Source organism: Homo sapiens, chromosome 1 (assembly GCF_000001405.40).
Source record: "Homo sapiens chromosome 1, GRCh38.p14 Primary Assembly".
In the NCBI taxonomy this organism is placed as follows: domain Eukaryota; kingdom Metazoa; phylum Chordata; class Mammalia; order Primates; family Hominidae; genus Homo; species Homo sapiens.
Window position 1 is genome coordinate 234,844,804 of NC_000001.11, and position 18,896 is coordinate 234,863,699.

Consider the following 18,896-nt stretch of genomic DNA (forward strand, 5'->3'; position numbering starts at 1 on the left):
GAGAGAAATCCTTGCATTATTCGGAACCAGCGAGTATGTATGGTGCAGGCAACTGAAACACCCTCTCTCTCTGCCTTTTTTTTTTTTTTTTTTGCATTGAACACTCTCAGTGTCTTCAAATTCCTAAGATTTTTTTCTTAACATCTCACATTTTATTAAATAAATCCAACCGCTGTGTATCACCGTCATTCTTAGCAAAGAATACATTAGCTATTTTCTTTGCAAAACAAAACCTAACTCTCATCTAAATAAAATCTACATGCAAAAGTAAGTGATATTTTCTGATCAGTACAATAGAATTGCCGTAAGTTTGGTCAAGGCTCTTGGCCTGCTTTCTAAAGATGTCCCTAGTATCTAGAGAGATCTCAAAATCTGTAATCATCGTGGGAAAACTTTTTCTGTGTTCAGAAATTCAGGATGACAAGAACTATCATTTTGGCAATATCTTAGAGGAGAATCTGAAAAGCTTCTGGCCACAGAAACGCCTAAATATGCTGTAGAAAAATAATAAGTGTGGTGTTAAAAGCACAGCTGAAATGAGTGAAGGAAATCCCAGAGACTGAGTATAAAGAAGGTCTGAGCACAAGAAAAAGTGCTGACACTTGGCTGCCTGAGCAGTGGGAGATCCGCTGAGGGAAAACAAGGTCACCTCAAGTTTCATAACCACAGACCACACTTCACATGGGTTTGGAGCTTAAGTTTACTCACCTGTATGGTCTAGGAAAGCTACGTCAATTAATTAACATAAAAGGAGTCCCAATATCACAAGAGCACTTGCCAAAACAAATAAAAAACTTCTCTATAGAAACCAATCTTCAACCTCTGCCACACAAGATTCCCATAGTGAGCACATTCTTTTAAATAGAAGCTCACAATCGAAAATTACAAAATGCGTTTAGAGACATGAGCAAGAGTGCACTACAAACAAGAATAAACAGACACAACGGGCGGCACAGGTAATGAGTCCCCAGAACCCCCAGAACATCAGCTAATAGAACTATCAGAAGGAGGATATGAATTGTTGTTAACATAACTGAAATGTAAAAGGAGAAATCAAAATTTTGAGAAAATAAATTTAAAAGACCAGGCATATTTGAAAAAGTACCATATGTTACCTCTAGAAATGAAATGTGTAACATTAAAAATAAAAACTTAATAAACGGGGCAAAGATTGCCAAAGAGAGAATTGATCATCCAGGAAGTGGTTTGGAAACAAATTACCTAGAATGCAACACAGAAAGATAAAGATATTTCTTACATGAAAGAGAACTTAAATACATGGAAGATGAAATGAGAAGCTCTAGCATGCATTACATAGGAGCTCCAGAAAGAAAGAATGGGGTAAGAGGCAATATTTTAAGATAGTGTCTGACAGTTTTCTAGAACAAGATGAAAATCAGATTCAGGTAGCATAATTAGTTCAAAACGAGATATAAAAATCTAGAGGCATTATAAGGAAAAGCTGCCAAAGGGCAAAATCAATTGGGAAAAAAAAAAGAAAAGATTACTTTCAAAGAAACAACAGTTTGACAGCAGACTTAAAAAAAAAAAAAAACTTTTACTTTAGGTTCAGGGGTACATGTGAAGGTTCGTTATATAGGGAAATTTGTGTCACGGGGGTTTGTTGTACAGACTATTTCATCACCCAGGTATCAAGCCCAGTATCCACTAGTTATCTTTTCTGCTCCTCTCCCTCCTCCCACCCTCCACCTTCAGGTAGACCCCAGTGTCTGTTATTCCCTTCTTTGTGTTCATGAGTTCTCATCATTTAGCTCCCACTTACATGTGAGAATGTGTGGCATTTGGTTTTCTGTTCTTGCATTAGTTTGCTTAGGATAATAGCCTCCAGCTCCATTCATGGTCCCACAAAGGACAAGATCTCATTCCTTTTTTATGGCTGCATAGTACTATATGATGTATGTATACCACATTTTCCTTATTCAATCTGTCATTGACGGGCATTTAGGTTGATTCCACATCTTTGCTATTGTGAATAGTGCTGCAATGAACATTCACGTGCATGTGTCTTTACTGTAGAATGATTTATATTCCTCTAGATATATACCCAGTAATGGGACTCCTGGGTCAAATGGTAGTTCTGTTTTTAGCTCTTTGAGGAATTGCCATACTGCTTTCCACAGTGGTTGAACTAATTTACGCTCCTACCAACAGTGTATAAGTGTTCCCTTTTCTCTGCAACCTTGCCAGCATCTGTTTTTGTTTATTTTTGATAATAGCCATTCTGACCAGTATGAGATGGTATCTCATTGTGGTTTCAATTTGCATTTCTCTAATGACCAGTGATGTTGAGTTTTTTTCATATGCTTGTTGACTGCATGTGTGTCTTCTTTTGAAAAATGTCTGTTAATGTTCTTTGCCCACTTTTTAATAGGGTTGTTTTTGTCTTATAAATTTAAGTTCCTTATAGATGCTGGATATTAAACCTTTGTCAGATGCATAGTTTGCAAATATTTTCTCCCATTCTATAGGTTGTCTATTTACTCTCTTGATAGTTTCTTTTGGATGGCAGACTTTTCGGTGACAACAATAGAAGTCAGAAGTCACTGGGATATTTTCAAAGCACTGAGAAATAAGCAATGATCTTAGTCTGCAAACTAAAAATAGTAAAGAAACAAACTAAGGCTAAGTTGCAGATCATGCCTAGTGTTACTCATATGAAGTTATACATGTATGAAGAGCTGGATCCATGGAGGTGTGACTTGGGCAGTTACACAGGGTGCCGCTCTTGGTCTGATGCTCTGTTGTCACAAGCTTGAAATTCTTAATAATGTTTTAACAAGGAGCTCTGAAGTTCTGTTTCTCACTGGGCCTTACAAATTATGTAGCCAGCCTTGTATGTAGGCCCTGAAGACCTGGTATCACTCAGAAACAAGGAAATCGCATTCTATACAATGTGTGGTCAGGCTTAGTAAAATGAAGCAAATGTTAAGCAGAGAAACCTAGGTCTTGTAGCTTGAAAGACAGAAAGAGGGGTTTATGCAAACATATTTGATAAACTTTGTCCACTGAAAGTGTTCAAGTCCTTTGTACATGAGAAGGGAAGGATGAGCCAAGCACCGGCAAGAATGGTCCCAAGAAGGAATGAGAAAGTCACCAAAATGCCAACATCTGTTAAGCCAGGTGATTTGCACCATGTACCAAGGATCTGAACATAAGAGAGGAGTAGATAGTGCTCCCTTTAGCAGCATAGGTACTAAAAAAAGGAGTGGAGAGAGAAACAGACAGTGGCAAGAAAAATGCCTTTCTCAAAGACATCTAGATAAACACTCACCATCAGAAGTATCAGTGATATCTGAATATTGGTACAAATCAGACAGCTAGAAACAATAATACCAGTTTAAAAAATCTAGGTCCTTCAAATTAGACAAGGCCCTTATAATAGGTATAATGAGGAAAAGATACTGTAAAACCTTTCATGATCAATCTAATTGTTCAATTCTTTCATTATCAGGAGATTCGGGTAATATTAGAAGGTACCTTAAAAGGGAGGAAAAAGGAGCAATATTAGTATGAAACTATCTGATTCATTATTTTTTCAAAGACTCAAGTTTATGGCCCTCGATGATAATGGATTCTATCCATTAAAACAGTTTTTCACTATTACCCTGACTTCTGAGGAAATGTGGAGTTAATTGGTCTATTTGCATTGTATTTGCAGCCATCTTGGTCCATTAGACAGAAAAGTATCACAACATCTATTAGATAGTACCATTTTTAGGACTAAAAATTCAGAGTTTCAAAACAGGCTTGTAATATCAAAACTAAAATGGAAATTTTTCATCTGTAGTTTTTCCAAGGTTGTGTGGGGTTAGATGTGATAACATGGTGCACCAAGGTGAAGTGGCAGATGAGAGAGACAGAGAATACAATGACTGCAAGTCTGTATTTGGTTCTGGGAGCCAAGTCTGCAGTAGATCTAGAGAGAGTTTTTATAGGAACTATCTGCGACTATCCTAGTTTAGGTTGAAAGAGGAGATTTCCCAGGAAGTAAAATTAATAAGCATTTGGAAAGAGACTATTTGGATATAAGTCACGATTTTCATACTGGAATGGGAGGGTATGGAGTCTCCTCTTCTGGATGTCTTTGAAAAAAAATCAATTCTTTAATAGTTGAGGACACTATTTCCCAAGCTGGGATTTCTGTTCTGTGTGGCATGGTAACAGGAGTGGTACTTGGGGGACTGGAGGGATGAGTTCAGAAAGGGCTCCCCACATGGGTTGGCATGAGCATTGCCGGAGTGTCCACCAAGCCTGCATGTCTCCTTCCTTCTACTCACACTTCTCCTCATTTCCCTAGAAAACTCCCTGAAAACGCCTATCTTGGCCAGTTTCTCTCCTTGCTGGGACTAGCTGTGATGTGGAGGTGACAAGATGTTTGTGCATAAAAGGCTTAAATAAGGGACATTAAGTATCAGGGCTTGCCTAAAGATGCAAAAAATGGTCGTGTCATCATGGCCTCCTCTTAAATTCTTAGACTCTTCCTCCTTCGAAGATTCCTTCAGATTTGCTTTGGTGGCCAAACGTCTGCTCCTTCCTCTTTTTTTGTACAGTGTCTTGAGTAAACAATGACACTTCTAGCCAGCATTTGCTTCTCTGCGTGCTTTGAGGATGTAGATTTTGTGGAAATAAAAAAAAAGAGAGAGAACTTTCTGCTGCTTTCCCATGCAAGGAAGGCTGAGGTTTAGCAGTGGTTTGTGTGTTGGGTTTTAGCCAGATGCCCTGGATGAACCACATGGATGAATTCTTTTTCAGCAGGATGAGTGCATCACCTTGGCTACCCAATGAATCAGACCTAATTAAAAGACAAAGTAAGCACACTGCAAAAATGCTAAGGATAAGAGGAAGAGGGTAAGATGAGGTAAGTAATGGGTCATTAAGATAATGAACACAAAGGGGACAAAGGATAGCAATTTTAAAGTCCTGGCATTGCATTCTAGAAGAGACCTGGTTCACTCTTCTCCCATACGTGGTCTAGTTGGTGAGGACAGCAACCCAGGGATGAATGAGCAGCTTAGGACAAGCAGTCAAACTTTCAAAGTCAAGATCTTTAAACGCTCTTAGGAGCTGGTGCCCACTGAACAGAGAGGGACACTTTTTCAGGCGTGGCACAGATATGCAGGAAGTGTTTGAACATTTCCAGGAAGTTTCTGGTGGAAAAAATCAGAAAGCAATTTCGCCCTCACGTTTATTGCTAATTTATGTGCTCTGTATTGACTGGATGTGCCTGTTGCATAGCAACCCATGGACATGTTTGCAGGAGTCATAATTTTTAAGAAGGAAAGTCCCTGCTGTTTGACTTCGAATCCATCCTCTGCAAATGCGGTGTTTCAGGGGACCATTTTGTATGCCTGCTTGTTTTCCCTTCCATCAAAGCTTCTTTTTTGGAGTCTCGCTCTGTCACCGAGGCTGGAGTGCAGTGGCGCAATCTTGGCTCACTGCAACCTCCGCCTCCTGGGTTCAAGTAATTCTCCTGCCTCTGCCTCCCAAATAGCTGAGACTACAGGCGTGTGCTACCAAGCCCAGTTAATTTTTGTATTTTTAGTAGAGATGGGGTTTCGCCATGTTGGCCAGGCTGCTCGCAAACTCCTGGCCTCAAGTGATCGGCCCACCTCTGCCCATAAAAGCTTCTGGTAATGGCTCATGAGTGTGCCATTCGGAAGGACTCTTCAGTCAAGCCTTCAACAACCTAACCCTAGAGTTAAAACTGGTAAACTTTGTATAGAACTGTAAAACTAATGACACTTGCGTGAATCTTTACACTGCAGTAATAGAGGATATGCATGTTACATACATAGGCACAGACACACCCGGCCTGCCAAGAACAAACATGTCATTATTATTTTTTAGCCTGAAATTTTAAAAGTTCTTTAAAACACACGGTTTGAGGAGCTTAACACAAAGACTCAAGGCCGTAAGAATTACATTTTCATCCAGGTGCTGTGGTTCATGCCTATAATCCCAGCACTTTGGGAGGCTGCGGCAGGAGGATTGCTTGAGGCCAGAAGTTGTAGACAAGCCTGGTCAACATAGTGAGACCTTGTCTCTACAAAATACTAAATAATAAATTAAAATAAATTTTTTTTAAAAAGCTCAGGAATGGTGGTTCACACCTGTAATCCCAGCACTTTGAGAGGCTGAGGTGAGTGGCTCACCTGAGGTCAGGAGCTCGAGACCAGCCTGGGCAACATGGCAAAACCCTGTCTCTGCAAAAAAATACAAAAATTAGCTGAGAGTTGTAGCATGCACCTGTAATCCCAGCTACTCGGAAGGCTGAGGCACAAGAATCGCTTGAACCTGAGAGGTGGAGGTTGCAGTAAGCTGAGATCGTGCCACTGCACTCCAGTGTTGGTAATAGAGCCAGACGCCATCTCAAAATAAATAAATAAGTAAATAATTTAAAAAATTTTTTAATTAAAATAAAAGCCAAGTGTGGTTGGGTGCACCTGTGGTCCCAAGTACTCAGGAGGCTGAAGCCAAAGGATGGCTGGAGCCCAGGAGCCAGAGGCTACAGTGAGCCACAATCATGCCACTGCACTCCAGCCTGGGTAACAGAGCAAAACCCTGTCCAAAAAAAAAAAAAAAGAATTACATTTTCTTAGAAATTCACAGGAGATGACAAAGTAGAAAAACATATATATGTGTGTTTTGTTAGAAAACACTTGAGGACTACACATCTGAAGGGAAGGCTGAACTGGCATGATTGGCATGGCGACATCATCATGGATCGGTGGGTGGCCCACCCAGGCCAGAGGGACTGTCTCCAGGAAGGTGAATCATGGTTTTCCTAGCAGTTTGCACCACTGCCCAATCTTCCTTATCATTCTTTCACTTCCCCTTTTATCCACAATCAGAAGCAGTGGACAAAAAGAAGGGAAGGAGGAGCCCGAGGACTCCAGGACTCATAGCGGAACTGAAGCCACCGTCACTGCAGGGCAGGGAAGCACATGACCTCTGGCAGGAAGAGGGGTTAGAAACTCCAGCCCCAGGTTTGAATCCTGAGGCCCCTAAGAATGTTTTCACTTTCAACAGCCATCACCTGCAGCTCTTTATCAGCAGTATTGCCTGCAGAGTAGTACAGCTGCTTTGCTTGCACAGAGAAGGAACCTATAGCCTGCAGGAACATATGTCCCCCTGGGGCAGCCCTTAACAGATGACCAATGAATGGCTGATGATGAGAGCATGCAGCCCCAGCTCCTTGCCTTGGGTGGGGCAGCTCTGAGGCACTTATACTTTAGAGCTGCCCTGGGGACAGGACTCCCTACAGAATTTGCAAGACCCAGTGCAAAATGAAAAAGCAGATCCCTTGTTCAAACAGTATGAAGAATTTCAAGACAGCAACAACAGCAGAGCATCAACCCAAGTGTAAGGCCTAAGTGTGGGGCCCGTGTGACTGCACAGGCGCACGGCCCTGCAGCCATCCCTGCTTGCAGAATCAGGTGTAAGCCACCCTCTGAGATCATCCCTGGCCCCTTCCCAGACCAGCTTCCCCAACTCTTTTACCAGGTTCCTCCAGGGAGCCCTTCCTTACAAATCTCCTGCACACAAATCCTCATCTGAGAGTCTGCTTCTGTGTCCCCAGTTAAGATAGATCTTTGGGCATGCTACCGCAGCATCTTTAAACCTCGGTTTGCTCTGTAAACCAAAAAATATCTGAGAGGAATCTCAACCAATTTAGGAAGTTTATTTTACCAAGGTTAAGGACACATGCCCTGGAGGAAGGTCTGTGCCTTTCTCCAAAGATGATTTTGAAGGCTTATTTAAAGGGGAAAGGGCAGATATTGGAAGAAAAGGAAGAAATTTTTTAAAGGTGTGGGTAGGTAAGAGACAAACTTTGCATTCTTTTGAGTCTTTGTTCAGCTTTTCATTAAATAGACAATTTACATGTGAGGGGGTGGAGGAATATTCACTTATGCCTTCATTTTTACATCAGAAAAAAACAATCAGATATGCTTTTGTCTCAGGTGAGCAGAGGGATGACTTTGAGTTCTGTCCTTTGTCCTGCACCCATGAAGATAAGCTATCCATTTACATTGTCAGGTAATTCAACAGAACCATTTTAGGGTAAAGATCTTGCAGACCACAAGGAATTTCCTGGTGGGCAAATTGTGAAAGGGATCTGTAGCTTTTTTATCTTTGTAGCTATCTTATTTAGGAATAGAATGGGAGGCAGGTTTGCCTGACGCAGTTCCCGGCTTGACTTTTCCCTTGGATTAGTGATTTTGCGGTCCTGAGATTTATTTTCCTTTCACACCTTCATATATAAAATTCGGGGTGGGGGAATAGAGTGTATTTTGTAGAGCTGTTGGGAGAATTGTGTGAGATAATGCACGCAAAGTGCTTAGTACCATGCCAAGCACGTAACAAATGTTCAGTGAATGCTAGTTAACATCATTTTTATCGTCATCACCACTAAAATTAAGCATCCTTGCCTTAACAAGGGAAATAAGAGTAAATATAACCCTGCCTGTTCCCTCTTTCCCTACCCTGGGAAGTCCATGCCCAAGCCTTTGGCCCAAGTTTCATCAGTAAAATTTTTTGGGGGGAACGGAGTCTCACTTTGTTGCTCAGGCTGGAGTGCAGCTCACTGCAAGCTCCACCTCCCAGGTTCAAGTATATCTTCTCCCTCAGCCTCCTGACTAGCTGGGACTACAGGCGCACACCACCACGCCCGGCTAATTTTTTATTTTTAGTAGAGATGGGGTTTCACCATATTGGCCAGGCTGGTCTTCAACTCCTAACCTCCTGATCCACCTGCATTGGCCTCCCAAAATGCTGGGATTACAGGCGTGAGCCACTTGACAAAGACAGAGGTGGCTGAGAATGAAAGCAGAGAAGTCCCTTTGACAAAACAATTATAAAAGAGCAAATCTGATTTAAGGGTGCTTAAAGCCCTGTTTTCCTTGGCCAAAACAAATTAAGTTTCTTTTTTTTTTTTTTTTTGAGACAGAGTCTCGCTCTGTCACCCAGGCTGGAGTGCAGTGGCATGATCTCAGCTCACTGCAACCTCTGCCTCCTGGGTTCAAGCAATTCTCCTGCCTCAGCCTCCCGAGCAGCTGGGTTTACAGGCATGCGCCACCACACCCAGGTCAATTTTTTAGTAGAGATGGGATATATATATATACACAGTATTTTTAGTAGAGATGGGGTTGCACCATGTTGGCTAGGCTGGTCTCAAACTCCTATCCTCAAGTGATCCGCCGCCTTGGCCTCCCAAAATGCTGGGATTACAGGGGTGAGCCACTGTGCCTACCCCTACAAATTAAGTTTCTGATAAGATGACTTGACAAAATTCTTATAGAACTCCTAGGGGTCATCAACTTCGTAAGTTATTCCAAAACAGAGACAAATGCTTTACTGCAATGGACAGTGTACATGGTTTGAAGAGAGTAGCTGGTGGTTAGTATCCTCTTTACTCATATGTGAACTCCTGAGCTGTCCACACAACAGAATAAGCAGACATTTCATTTGAAATCTCAAGTCTTCTGATACTTGTCTCAAAAGAGGGAAGCCGGTGACCTTAAGAACTTCCCAAATGCTGTGGTTGCCTCCCTTACCAGACTCCCTTAGACTGCTTGAGGCCGAGGTAGGAGACAGGGTTGGACTGCTCTGTAAGCACACCCACACATCCTTTCTGCCCCAGAAGCTTCACGACTCATTGCAGAGTACATCCCTATAATTCACAGTAGATCACAGAATCTCAGTTAGAGCCAAGGCTCTACCCAAGCCAAGACTTCATTAACCACTTCAAACCAAACAGAAGAAAACAGGCTTCCAGAGAGCAGAGAGGTTGGTTTTACTTAATCAAGCACATATTGACTGACCTTCTTCTCAGCCCTAACTGTGCAAGGCATCTGAGGATACTAAAATATCTAAGACACAACCCTGCCTTCAAGGAGCTCACAGGTTCAGCTAACTGAGGCAGGAAGGCCCAATCCTCTTTGACTGGGGCAAGACTTGATGGTTGGATGACCTGTGCATGACAAGTGACCTGTAAATGAGGAACACATTTAGTGGTGACTGGGCTCCAAGGCAGCCCCAAGCCCCCACTCCACCAGTGACACAGCTGAGGGTGCCACTAGGAATAACAGATCCAGTTCATCTCAACACATTACTCACAAACGAACTTAAGAACCCAGCTCTATTGATAGGTGGGGGCTTGAGTCACAAATGGGTTCCCACCTGACTTTTCCTGGCCAAGACTTGAGCAGGAGGATGCTTTAAATCAGCAAAGCTTCAAGTCTTCTGTGAGGATGCTTCCAAGGCTCAGCAAGGGGCCCGTGGGGAGAACAACAGGACTCACTGAGTGGCAGTTCTATTAAGTGGAACAGTCTTGTTCAAAAGAACATTTGGGGTTTCATTTGACTCTCACCCAGAATAAGATCCAAGTGCTTATCACTGTGACGTGGCACTAAGAGGCACTGTTCCCATTTTGTAAAAGTGATTTTTTTTCCCACTTGATTTGCTTCACAAAGGCTGGTGTTGTCACTATTTTGAGGTGGGTAAATTGTGGCAAATGCCATTTGCGGTCTCCTCTCTGCAGGAACTCTATTACTCTCGGACACCAATGGAGTCCCTCGGGGGCACTCTTGTCCCCGAGAGTACTTTCAGCGAATTCTCTGTGCATTGCTCATCAACCAGTGTTCAGGCTGGTCCCCCCACAGCCATTTCTGTGTCTTGCTCACCTATCTCAGAGGACTGGGAGAGGACCCCTGCCCAACCTTGCAGATGGGAGCGCCATCTCTGCGGCTGAAATGGTAAGAGCCAATACCTGGCTGAGACACTTCAGAATAAGGAATCTCTGCCTTCTCAAATTCAACTTATTCCTCACATACCATAACGCACATCAGCATTGCAGAAAGCGTAAAGAGGATTCCACAGTTCTCAGATGTCTTCATTTGTATTCTAGCTACCCATCTACGGAAGTTATTTACCACTGAAGAATTTGTTTAGTGAGACCCCAGAATGTCATGTTTTCCTTTGTATTTGTCGGGATTGTCCAGAGAAACAAAACCAATAGTATGGATAGAGAAAGAGAGTGAAATTTATTTTAGGGAATTGGCTCAATTAATTGTGGAGGTTGGTGAGTTTGAAATGTGCAAGCCAGGCTGCAGGCTAGAGTCCCAGGGAAGAATGGATGCTGCAGTCTCAAGTCTGAAGGCCATCTGGAGGTAGAATTCCCTCTTCCTTGGGGGAGATCAGTTTTTTCTCTTAAGGCCTTAGACTGATTGGACGAGGCCCACCCACACTACAGAGGGCCATCTGCTTTAGTCAAAGTCTACTGATTTGAATGTTAATGTTATCTTTAAAAACACCTTCACGGCAACATCTACAGTAGTGTTTAACTGAACAACTGGGCACCATAGCCCAGCGGAATGGACACACACACAACTACCCATCACATCCCTGTAGTATTTGTTTGTAATCCTTGTAACTAAGTGAGTTCAATGTACTTGTAAAGAGGGCTGAAGACTAAGTGAGGTACAGGTCCTTATAAGGCAAAACCTTCAAAACATAAGCTTCTCAGAGATTGTAAGCTACTAGAGGGAAGGGACCATGAACCACGCTGGATTGGATTTTGAACCACACTGCCAAGCCAAGGGCACAGCACTAGATACTTCCAGAATAATAAGTGCACCATGGACTCTGAATCCAGATGATCTGGGCTCCCACTCCAGCTCTGCAACAGGCTGGATGTGTGATCTTAGTCCAGTTATGTCATCGATATGTGCTTTAGTTTTGTCATCTGAAAATAGGAATACTGAAGTGGGACCATTGCTGTGAAGATTAAATAAGTTACTATTTGTAAAATGCTTAGACCACTGAATAAAAGTCTTCCCGCTGATGAGCAACAGATTACACATTGCGTTAGCACTGCTCATTTTGTTGCCTTACTTTCCCCAAAAGTTTAAGGCTGTTCCCGTGGAGGAAAGATCAAGGCCTGTTAGGAGGTTCTTGCATCCCTTGGTCCATGACAAGAGTCCAAGAATACAAAGGATGAAGGCTCAGGTCTGAACACAGCTGCCCATCCACAGGCAGCCCAGTCATTGACTACAAAATGCAGCCCTCCTGCCATGGAATTCTGCCCAGGATGTGAGATCTTCACAAGCTGTAACTGCTCACAATCACCAGGGAGAGCAGAGCGCAGTGTTTTTCCAGAATTTGCCTTTATCTTTGCAAGAAATGTGGAATAAATGACCTCTTCTCTCTAGATAGTCCTTTTTTCCTATCTCTAAAGTTGAGTTTTCTCAAGTTTGGTATCAGGCCTAGTGCACTGAGCACTTCCTATAAAAGCCGATTATTTAATTCAGTATTATGTTTGTTGTCATGGTGATAAGAATGATGTCTTGGCTTCAGCCATCAATGTTAGACGCAGTCCAATTTGGAAGCCAGAATAGGACAAGGAGGATAGTAATGATGATGCTAATAACAATGTTCTAGGCCAGGCATGGTGGTTTATTCCTATAATCCCAGCGTTTTCGGAGGCTAAGGTGGAAGGATCGCTTGAGGGCTGAAGTTCGAGACCAGCTTGGGTAACATAGTGAGACCTCATCGCTACAAAAAATTGAAAAAATTAGCCAGGTATGCCTGTAGTACCAGCTACTCAGTAGGCTGAACTAGGAGAATCTCTTGAGCCCAGGAGATTGAAGCTGCAGCAAGCTATGATCACGCCATGGCACGCCAGACTGGGCAACAGAGTAGAACCCTTTCTCTTAAAAAAGAGAAAAAGTTCTTATTCCTAGGATTTTTTAAAATCTTGGAGTAAGATCACAGAAGCACCAAGGACTATTCATCATTAAGTGCAAAAGAAAAGTCAGTCTGGAAGAGAATATAATGAGCTCAAGTACCTTTACAATCCATCAGCTTGGTTGAAGTAATTCCTGAGTTTCTAATTCTTATCAAAGACACTGCTGAGTAACTGGTACGGTTGGTTGGGGAACCCTTTTGTCAGGGTCTGGAGGGAGTAGGGAGAGGGTGGCTGGCAGCATTTTTCCCCATTGTAGTTCCTGAGAGAAATGTCAGCTTCACTCCACTGCAGAGCCTTCCAGCCTGAAGCTGGCTGTGGCAATCGGTTGGAGAGGACCAGAGCTTGGCTGGGAGCTGCCATTGCCATCTCCCAGCCCTGAGTCCCCTCTGAGCCTTCAGCACCTGATACTGCTCCTCAGTGGGTTGGGACCCCTCCAATCCACTAGGCAAAGTGGGGGCTATAGTATGAGCGGGGGTTGGGGTAGGGGTAGGAGTGGGGAGGTGCTGCAAATTCAAAACCCATCTCTGGGGCTGAGAAACATAGAATAGACCTGTCTGGGAACACAGACTCTTTCCAAGTAGAATCCTTTCTTCAAAGCATAGCTCAATGGGAAACCCATACACAACGCGGAGCTGCTTTCATTCAAGCAAGAAGAAGGAGGTGTCCAGAGCTCCACTACCTCCATCCTCCTCCTCCCTGGACCCTACAGCAGCTAATTCCCAGCCAAGTTGCCTTCAGAAAGTTAATTGCCCTCCTGAGCCTTCATTTCTTCATCCATAAAAGCAGAGAGAATGATTTCGAGGCATGCCTTGAGGACATACAGACTGCACCAAGCATAACGCATGGGTGCGCAGTAACAGCTCCCTCCTTCCTCTTATTTGTAGTAGACGAAGACGAAGAAGAAAATAAACTTTGTTCCCTAAAAGAGCCCCAAGTCGCAGAAGAACCCCAAATCCTTGGTTGGATAAACCATACTGGTGGCACTAAAGGTGTTAGGGTGCTGGGGCTGCACCTGCCCATTCTGCCTTTGACTGATCCCAGAGACAGAGCAGAATGGGCTCACTGTTTCTCACTGGGCTCTTGAAGGCCACCTGTGAATTCCATTTTTCTTTCCATCTCCAAAGGAACAGATGAGTGCTAGATCTCCATTTCTTTCCCTCATGCTCTAAGAGAGGAAACAGCTGGGGGCTTTGCTCTGATGAGTTCTGAGGGGTGGTCAAAGCTGAGGACCCATGGCCCTCAGTGGCCAGTGCCCCCCTGCACTGCTCCTTTCTGAAGCTGCAGGTTTTGTAGCCAGTGAGAACCCTGCTTCCCACTGAATTTAGGCCTTTGGCATTTCACTTCTGTGCTCTAGGACCTGAAGGAATCCAACCACAGATGAGCTCATCACAAATTCTTTTGCAGGTAACTGCTTGTGCTCTCACACATCTTTATTCTTGGTGCAGAATGAGTTCCTGAAATTATGTTACATCCCTCAAATTCCACCATGTTGAAGGATCCCTAATTCTCAAGAAGCACACTCTTAAGCATCCCACCCCAATTATGGTTTTCCTAAAATCTATTTGGGACTGCCTTCTTCTAATTTCTAAAATACTCATTTTGGGTACTTACCCAAATAACATTTGTATTCTTTACATTAATTAGGCTTTCTGAAAAAAGTAGCATGGGACTGGTGCAATGGCTCATGCCTGTAATCCCAGCACTTGGGGAGCCCGAGGCGGGAGGATCATCTGAGGTCAGGAGTTCGAGACCAGCCTGACCAATATGGCGGAACCCCGTCTCTACTAAAAATACAAAAATTAGCCAGGCGTGGTGGTGTGCCCCTGTAGTCCCAGCTACTCAGAAGGCTGAGGCAGGAGAATCACATGAACCCGGCAGGCGGAGGTTGCAGTGAGCTGAGATCACACCATTGCACTCCAGCCTGGGCAACAGAGCCAGACTCCATCTCAAAAAAAAAAAAAAGGTAGCATGGTACACACTAACGTAATAGATAACAACAGTATTATGTACAAGTATCAACCAGGCAGAGGATAGAGTGAGAAAAATGGTGTATCCTTCAAGAGTTGTTTGGGTTTTTTTACAACAGCAACACAAAAAATACCTTCAAATAAACTTACTAACATGCATGCAAAATGCCTAAGAGAGAAACTAACCTTTAAAAATGCAAAGGAACAATAGAACCAATGGGAACACATACTACCTTCTAAGAGAGAAAGATTCATTACCACATCACTTCTCCTAAAAAGAATTTATAAATTTTATGTGACCTCAATACAAATAATCTTTTTCAAAAAAAACCTAGATAAGCTGACTCTAAAGTTCATATGGAAAAATGAAACAAGCAAGAATAGCCAGGCAGTCTAAGCAGGATGTGCAGAGGGTGTCCATGTCCTCTGCTTCACCATTTGACGTCAGAGGACCAAAAACCCCACCCTTGGATTGTGCTAACCCCACTGCCATGTCTTGAACATGGGTCCCCTAGAGAGGCATGAAGCTCAATTGCACACACGCATGTTTCTCCTTTCATAAATGTTCATGACTCCTCCTCCAGCTTATTGAATATGTATATTTGACAACCCCATTTAATATAAATATCTGTCTTATTCTTCTGACTCTCAAAGTTTCTGTTTCTGGTTTCTGGCCAGAGACTATGCTTCCCAACCTGTCAGAATGGCCACCCTGCAGGCTGCAGCCCTTTATGTGAAATAAAGCTCTCCATTCCAAATTTAAAAAAAAAATAGCCAGGTAAAGAATAGAAAAAGAAAGGAAAAGCAAAAACAGCAAGAAACAAAACGAAAAGGAATGAGAAAAAATAGCTCTATCACATTTCAAAGTGTATTGTAAAGTCTCAGTAATGAAAACAGCATAGTACTGGCCAACGGACAGACATCCCAAACAATGGAATAAACTAGAAAATGCAGAAATAGACCCAATTATAATCAGAGATTCTGTAAATTATGAAGGTGATATCTCTAACCACTAGAGGAATGGTATTACTAAACGATATCAGAACAACTGGAAAAGAGTTAAGTTCAATCCATGCCTCACATTTTTCCCCAGAGTCAAATCCAAATGGATTAAAGATACAAACTCTTTTTTTTTTTTTTGAGATGGAGTTTTGCTCTTGTTGCCCAGGCTGGAGTGCAATGGTGCAGTCTCAGCTCACTGCAACCTCCACCTCCTGGGTTCAAGCAATTCTCCTGCCTCAGCCTCCTGAGTAGCTGGGATTACAGGCACATGCCACCACATCCAGTTAATTTTGTATTTTTAGTAGAGATGGGGTTTCTCCATGTTAGTCAGGCTGGTCTCCACCTCCCAACCTCAGGTGATCCACCTGCCTTGGCCTCCCAAAGTGCTAGGATTACAGGCATGGGCCACCATACCTGGCCACCTGGCCAAGATACAAACTCTTGAAAAATGAAAACTCCAGCCTGGGCAACATGTATCTCTACAAGAAGTACAAAAATTAACCAGGCATGGTGACACGTGCCTGTAATTTCAGCTACCCAGGAGGCTGAGGCAGGAGGATCACCTGAGCCCTAGGAAGTCAAGGCTGCAGTAAGCCAAGACTGTGCTACTGCCCTCCAGCCTGGGTGACAGAGCAAGATCTTGTCTCAAAAAATAGAAAAAGGAAAAGGAAAAGAAAAGAAAAGAAGCCATAGAAGAACTAGAAGAAAATATCGGCAAATTCCTTTAGAACTTTGGAGAATAGAAGGCCTTTCTTTTATCCAGAATTCATACAAAAAAAAGATTACTATATTATACCACCTAATTTTTAAAAAACTTAGACATCCACAAAACATAAGCAAAATTAAAAGACAAACAATAATGTGGAGTGACTCATATCCCAGAGAGCCAATCTTTCCTTAACACACAAATAGCTACTAGGCATGGTTAAGGAAAAAGACCAAAGTGAACAAGACAGTTTTTCTTTAGATGGGCAAAGGAGATGAAGAGGAAGCTCATAGAAAAGGAGATGCAAATGGGTCTTGAAAGAATGGAATTAAAGTGAGTGCTCCATCTCACTTTAATAAGAGAATCACAAATTGAAACTACAATGAAATGCCTGCATGGCAAGGCTATGGAGAAAGAGAGACTCTCATTCTTTACTAGTGGCAGTGCATAGTGTACACTCTGTTGAAGACGTCTGAAAACCCTTACCAAAATTATAAATATGTTTACCCTTTATCTCAATAATGCCACTTGCCTTAATTTATTCTACCAGTATACCTACATGTATAGGAAGCATCCTGGGTAGCATGGTTCGTAGTAGCAAAAGATTGGAAGCAAATCAAATGTCTGTAATAGAAACCAGTTAGATAAATTTACGATGTGTCCATAACTAGGAAACTATTAAGCTGTAAAAAATGAATGAGGACGTTCTTTATGTACTGATTTGAAAGATGTCCAAGATATATACACAGGTAAGTGAAAAGAGCAAAGTCCAAACCAGTTTGCACAGAATGCTAACTTCTGTCAGCCTTGCCACATGGGTATTTTATTATAGTTTTAATTTGCATGTCTCTGAACCTAAGTGAGATTGAGTATTTTTTCATTCTCTCAAAGGCCGCTGCAGTTCCTTTCTGTGAAAGGGGGAAAGAAAAAGAAAAAATATATATGTACAAAGTTATACACACACATTTGTTTGTATATCATAAAGACACCCAAGAAATTAATATAAGTGGTTACTTGGGTTGGGGTTAATGGGAGCAAGGGTAGAAGTCATGGTTTTTATAGTTTTGATTTGTGAACCAAGAAAATGAATTATCTGTTCAAAAAGTAAACGTGAACGAAACAAGTCTTTCCCTACCAGTTCCTCAGGCTCTTGCTAAACCTATCATTTTCACATTTGCCAAATATTTCTCCCAGATCCAAATGTGACCCCGGAGGGATGGGGCAGGGTCAAGAATGAAGGGGCAGCCAGGGATGGCCCATGAGACCCACAGGGATCTCTCACGTGGATGGATGTCCTGCATGTTTTTAAAAGATGAGGTCAACAGGTGGGCAGCTGTTTTTCAAGAGGGGCCACTACCTGCTTTGGAACCAAACTGGCCACTGAGTCAGGACCTCTAGGCAAACCAAATTCATTAATAAGACAGTAGGCTCATGAGACCAGAGGGGAAAGAGAAGCCTTCCAAGCCCAGAACATTCCCCCTCCAGCCCTCAGTGCTACAGATGGGTCCAGCCTGATCTGACCTCCCTGTCGTATTTTGAGCTTTTCCCAGGATTCCAAATGGACAACTGCTCTATTGTTTCATTCCTTTATCTGCATTGGGAGGGCAGCCCTCCCCCTCGGGCTTTAAACGTTTTTCCAGCCTCAGGGGTCTCTGGCCACAGCTTTGCTTTACCTTCCTCTGCGGAAAAGCAAAAGCTGGCCAAGGCGCTACAAGATGAGACAGGCACATCTGCCACACATGGAAAGAAGAAAGCAAACTGGAGTTTCCAAAGCCGCCGGTCCCCGCAGGCCTGAGCGCTTGCAGCTTCTGCCTTTGATTCCTCTGATTTTATGAGCTCAGAGCACAACATGTTGGAAGTGAGCAGAGCAGCTGCCCAGGAAAGAATGCACCGGTTCCACGGTTGAGGACTCCAAGGGAAAGCACTGAGCGGCGTGGGGCACAGGCAGGGAGAGAGACGCCAATCCTCCACAAAACATCCGGTTCCCACCAGCCTGGGCTCTAGCCAAGTGAACTAGCTGAGTCGGTCTGGGGAGGTTCCAGTTCCTGGCCTTTTGTCATCGACTGGGGACAATGCATTTGCTATGATTGATGGAGGCCACAGATTTCATCCCCAGCCCCAGCCTGGGCTGCAGGATCCAAGTGAGCACTGGCCTACTGGGGGCTCAAGGCCACAACACTGACCACCAGGGAGGGCTCTGGGAGACAAGAGGCTGGAGGCTGGACTCTACTCCCCTGGGCATCATGCAGAGCCCTTGCCCTCTGTGCCCTGTCCCCTTCCAACCCCTCTGCCCAAGAGAAAGCTCAGAGTCCTTCCACATCCAGAAACACAGGACTGGTTTCTACAAGTCCATTTTTTTCCCCCATAATTAAGGACTGCAGAAGGAAAGATGATTCGGATCTGGCTCGCAAGCTCAATGACTGAGAAAAGGACGCCAGGTTCCCTGGTACTAGTG

At 43.3% G+C, this 18,896-nt stretch overlaps 1 long non-coding RNA gene across 2 annotated transcripts in view, besides 2 other annotated features; it reads right to left on the bottom strand.

The window, feature by feature from the left end:
• Nucleotides 1-18,896, bottom strand: part of LOC107985365 (uncharacterized) — a 63,991-nt gene that overhangs the window by 31,968 nt on the left and 13,127 nt on the right. The gene's annotated exons all lie outside the window — the stretch shown is intronic.
• Nucleotides 4,399-4,693: a silencer, noted in NCBI's record as "tiled region #4610; K562 Repressive DNase matched - State 5:Enh". NCBI's record gives its function as "represses a minimal TATA promoter and a strong SV40 promoter by Sharpr-MPRA in K562 cells {active_cell/tissue: K562}" and the evidence as "EXISTENCE:reporter gene assay evidence [ECO:0000049][PMID:27701403]".
• Nucleotides 6,739-7,033: an enhancer, noted in NCBI's record as "tiled region #12865; HepG2 Activating non-DNase unmatched - State 10:DNaseD, and K562 Activating DNase matched - State 8:EnhW". NCBI's record gives its function as "activates a minimal TATA promoter and a strong SV40 promoter by Sharpr-MPRA in HepG2 cells, with weaker activity in K562 cells {active_cell/tissue: HepG2 | K562}" and the evidence as "EXISTENCE:reporter gene assay evidence [ECO:0000049][PMID:27701403]".